This window comes from Homo sapiens, chromosome 1 (genome assembly GCF_000001405.40).
Source record: "Homo sapiens chromosome 1, GRCh38.p14 Primary Assembly".
Lineage (NCBI taxonomy): Eukaryota > Metazoa > Chordata > Mammalia > Primates > Hominidae > Homo > Homo sapiens.
Window position 1 is genome coordinate 237,024,541 of NC_000001.11, and position 5,452 is coordinate 237,029,992.

A 5,452-nucleotide genomic window follows, 5' to 3' on the forward strand; every position below is an offset into this window, starting at 1 on the left:
GGCGCTCTGCGTTTTAGAGTTTCCAGTTTTTCTGTTCTGTTTTTTCCCCATCTTTGTGGTTTTATCTACTTTTGGTCTTTGATGATGGTGATGTACAGATGGGTTTTCGGTGTAGATGTCCTTTCTGGTTGTTAGTTTTCCTTCTAACAGACAGGACCCTCAGCTGCAGGTCTGTTGGAATACCCTGCCGTGTGAGGTGTCAGTGTGCCCCTGCTGGGGGGTGCCTCCCAGTTAGGCTGCTCAGGGGTCAGGGGTCAGGGACCCACTTGAGGAGGCAGTCTGCCCGTTCTCAGATCTCCAGCTGCGTGCTGGGAGAACCACTGCTCTCTTCAAAGCTGTCAGACAGGGACACTTAAGTCTGCAGAGGTTACTGCTGTCTTTTTGTTTGTCTGTGCCCTGCCCCCAGAGGTGGAGCCTACAGAGGCAGGCAGGCCTCCTTGAGCTGTGGTGGGCTCCACCCAGTTCGAGCTTCCCGGCTGCTTTGTTTAGCTAAGCAAGCCTGGGCAATGGCGGGCGCCCCTCCCCCAGCCTCGTTGCCGCCTTGCAGTTTGATCTCAGACTGCTGTGCTAGCAATCAGCGAGATTCCGTGGGCGTAGGACCCTCTGAGCCAGGTGTGGGATATAGTCTCGTGGTGCGCCGTTTCTTAAGCCGGTCTGAAAAGCGCAATATTCAGGTGGGAGTGACCCAATTTTCCAGGTGCGTCTGTCACCCCTTTCTTTGACTCGGAAAGGGAACTCCCTGACCCCTTGCACTTCCCAGGTGAGGCAATGCCTCGCCCTGCTTCGGCTCGCGCACGGTGCGCACACACACTGGCCTGCGCCCACTGTCTGGCACTCCCTAGTGAGATGAACCCGGTACCTCAGATGGAAATGCAGAAATCACCCGTCTTCTGCGTCGCTCACGCTGGGAGCTGTAGACCGGAGCTGTTCCTATTCGGCCATCTTGGCTCCTCCGCTTTTTTTTATATCTAGTCAACAATCTTGTCCTTTAATTGAAATGTTTAGTCCATTTACATTTAATGTAATTAGTGATATGTTTGGGTTTAAATCTACTGTTTGGCTATTTGTTTTATGTTTGTCTGATCTGTTCTTTGTTTCCATCTGCTTGTCTGCCTTCTTTTTGATATATTGAGTATTTCTATGATTGTATTTTGGGGGGCTTATTGGCTATGCCTCTGTTTGATTATTACTTTTTGTGGTTGTTCTAGGATTTACAATTTTCATTTATAACTTATAGCTCAAACTTTGAAATAATATTATGCCACTTCACATACAGTGTAAGAACCTTACAACAGTATACTTTAATTTCCTCTTTCCATCCATTGTCAAACATCTTACATAACTTTATAACATGTTATAAACTCCACAACACATTATCGCTTTAGTCAACTATCATTTAAATTTAAACATGAATGAAATAAGATAAAAAGTTCCTTATTGCAGTAAAAATCAGATAATGTTACTTACTTCTTTGCTTAAAACCTTCCAACAGTTTCCTGCTGCAGTTTGAATTAAATCTAAACTCAAAATGTTTCACAGGTTTAAGCTAGTTGGGGGAAGGAAGATGTCATGATGTTTTCAGCATCTAGTGCCATGCTTCTTTCATGAAAAGTTCTCAAGAAATTGTTCCATTATTAACTAATGTTCACTTTTGTGTAATTTACATATCAGAGGAACTAATTAACCTAAATGAGTGCATAGTGGTAAAAACTGTAAGATGGCAATTTTACCACTGCTCACTCCAGCTCCTAGGTAGAAGGCATATTACATAAGAGAGGGACATGTTCATTATTGTCTAGCATAGCATCAGGTGTATAATAAACAGTAAGTATAGCTGAATGAAGGGATGAACGGATATGTGGTCTTTCCTAGGGTACTTACTTACTGTTTTAGTTTCTGCTACTTCCCTATTTCCCAACAAATTAGTGTAGCAGCTAGTGATATACCTAGGATCAATATCATAGAATTGTGCAAATTGAATCTTACACACCAGCTTGTCTTCACCTTTGCTAAAGATTCTGTATCCTGTGGTGCTTGGCAGACAAGAAATGAGAGTGTTATAACATTTATTCATCTTAAAAGACCTCTTATTTCAAAGGAGTCCTTGAGAGGCATTCATAGTCTGTTTATACCTTTCAAGATTTTTTTCAGCTTCAATGCCAACCTAACTTATCTTCCCAGATTAAAATGTTTTTAAAAGTACTTTTAGTCTGTTATCACAGTTGATTATTTTAATTTCCTCATTCTGTGCTCTCTTCAGTTTCACTGTGTATTTTTTGACAGTGATTAAGCAAAGTTGCATACAGTATTCCAAGCATAGACACCCACAGTTTGTGTGTGGAGTTGGAGTCTATTTTTTTATTTATGTTTGTTCATTACTAAGGATGCCCAGCCTAATGTTATACCCTTTGGCGTTGGGGACACATAAGGTGTTCTACTTCTGGCAGTGAACTGTGTCTCAGAGCCTAACATCTTCCTTGTGGATTTGAATACCTTCACTCACTTTGAAATTCATGGACCTTCTTTTCTAGCTCATTTTGGCTTGGGAAATCTTTACTGAGTTTTCAGGACCTGGAATTTCACTACTTAGAAAATCTTAATGTCATGGGTCAAATTTGTGATACTGTTTATTCTGGATTCCAAATCATGGATATGTTTAAATAAAGTAGGTCTGGTACCAAGTCCTTGGGGACCCATGGTTTTTATTTTTTTCTCCCTCTATTTCCTATATCTAAATAGATTTGCTGTCCTAGAACCAGATAAAAGGCCCCTTGATAAAGACGCTTTAAATAAATCACATGCACAGATTCAATCCTGTCCATGTGTCTTTTTTCCCCTCAAAAAAACTTAAAAAGATGAGTTAGTCATGATTTCCTAGGACAGAAATGATGGTGCCTCACGCTCCCCCTCTGGACCCCTGATCTGTGTATTTCCAGGCAGCTGTTGCTATGGTATGAATATTTGTGTCCCCTCAAGATTTATACATTGAAATCCTAACCCCCCAGGCTGATGGGATTAGGAGGCGGGAACTTTGGGAAGTGATTAGGAAGCAAGATTAGAAATGGATTTGGCCTGTGAATCAGAAGGCAAGCTCTTACCGGACACAGAATCTGCCAGTGCCATGATCTTGGACTTTCTAGCTCCTAGAATTGCAAGAAATAAATATGTGCTGTTTATAAGCTACCTAGTCTATGACATTTTGTTGTAGCAGCCTAAACACACGAAGACATCTGTGATTCCACCTTTTATTGTTGTGGACTGCCAGTTTATCTGGGATGGAAGTAGTATTTACTGCCTGCTTGCTTGTACGCACTTGCTCACTCTCTCGCTTTCCCTCCCTCTTTTCTTCCTTCCTTCTTTTTTCTTTCATTTCTTTTTACAAACAAACAAACAAACAAACAAACAAACAAACTACCCAGCCAGCTTGCAGTTCAGGAGCAGAATTCCTGGGCTTGGGATGGAGTCTGACAAGAAACAGAAGGCACTATCTCAGTCTAGAAAGAGATAAGGGGTTCAGAACAGTGCTCAGGTGACCTGGAACTTTAGCAACTGGGTGTTTCCTCCAGATTCTGTGACCAGAGCTGCAGAATGCTTCTTGCTGTGGGCTCAGATTGGTTCTGGGACCAGGAAGGGACCTAGCATGTGTATGGTTTCCTAAATAATAGGCTTTTTGTTATTATTACTATTAGTTGCCTTTTAATGAATGGAAATAAGGAAGAATTTTTTTTTAATTGGAAGATATGCTGAACAGATTAAGGTTGATGAGCAAATAATTAAAATGTATTTTAAGGGTATGCAAATTGAATTCATAGAAATTGAAAAAGAAATGAAAAACGAAGCTAGAGCAGGAGGACTGAACATTTCCACACACACTTTCTTAAGAACAAAACAGTGATGTCCATATACGGAAAAATAGAAAAATGTTCAATGGAAACTAATTGACTAAGTAAAAACACTTTCTAGGACATGGAATATAAATGGGAATGTTACAGGAATGAAAGTGGGGGCCCAGCATGGTGGTTCACATGTGTAATCTCAGCATTTTGAGAGGCACAGGTGAGAGGACTGCTTGAGTCCAGAAGTTCGAGACCAGCCTGGGCAACATAGTGAAACTGCCGTCTCTGCAAAAAAAGTAAAAAAAAAAAATTAGCTGAGAATGTTGGCGGGCACCTGTAGTTCCAGCTACTTGGGAGGCTGAGGTGGGAGGATCGTTTGTGTCTGGAGTTTGAGATTATAGTGAGCTGTGATTGTGCCACTGCACTCTAGCCTAGGTGAAAGAGTGAGACCCAATCTCTCAAAAAAAAAAAAATAAATAAATAAAGTTGAATGTGGGGTAGTTTACTAGGAGAAACATGAATAATGAAAATTAGTAGATAAAATGAGAGAATTAAAGCAAACTCTATAAAGAAAAATTGAAAAAGACTAAATGGTTCAGTAATGAGATATATTAATAAAAGTAAGTATTTTTTCTTATTAGATGGACATAGAAATCTGATTCGAAATGACACTACAGGATAGAGACTTGAAACAAACTCAACTGTCTATTTATTCATCAATCTGTCTATCTATATCGAGTATCACTGTGTGGTTTTATTTTGAAGGTACAAATTGAATTTAAAGAAACAATGGAGAGGAAAAATCCGAGTCATATGTATTGACAAATTTCAGTTATTTACCTTTTTAAGTACTGAGCAGGCATTGGTCTCATTTTGGAGATTTCGTGCAGGAGAATTTTGGATATTAATCAAAATAATAAGTTACATATTTAGAGAAAGAATAATCTAGAAGTCTTTGGACCGATAAGCCTAACCTGTCTATCAGGAAAGAGACTGGAAGAAAATAATTGTGTAACTATTTGATTAATATTTTCATAAGAACGGCAGCAAACAGGATGGCCTTGTAAAGAACAAATCCTGTCAGACTATAACTTCCTCTTCTGACAAAATGAGTAGTCAGCTGGATTGAAGGAGAGGTAATAGACTATCTTCACTTTGCCAAGGATTTTGATTTCTGCTCAGCAAGCAAATACATGAGACAGTTTTGGGTAGTGATGACCAATTTAGAAGGAAATAAGGCAAGGTAATGAGGGGGAAAGTGATGAGTGAAGGCTGATACCTTAGAAATGGTGGTCAGGAGTCTGGATGCGGTGGCTCATGCTTGTAATCCTAGCACTTTGGGAGGCTGAGGTGGGTGGATCACCTAAGGATAGGAGTTTGAGACCAGCATGACCAACATGGTGAAACACCGTCTCTACTAAAAATACAAAAAATTAGCTGGGCATGGTGGAGTGCACCTGTAATCCCAGCTACTTGGAAGGCTGAGTCAGGAGAATTGCTTGAACCCCGGAGGTGGAGGTTGCAGTGAGCCAAGATTGCGCCATTGCACTCCAGCCTGGGTGACAAGAGTGAAACTCTGTCTCAGAAAAAAACAAACAAACAAAAAAAAGAGACGG

The 5,452-nt window shown here is 40.5% G+C and overlaps 1 annotated feature.

Moving 5' to 3' along the window:
• Nucleotides 975-1,175: a silencer, noted in NCBI's record as "peak789 fragment used in MPRA reporter construct". NCBI's record gives its function as "represses an SCP1 promoter by STARR-seq MPRAs in K562 erythroleukemia cells {active_cell/tissue: K562}" and the evidence as "EXISTENCE:reporter gene assay evidence [ECO:0000049][PMID:32103011]".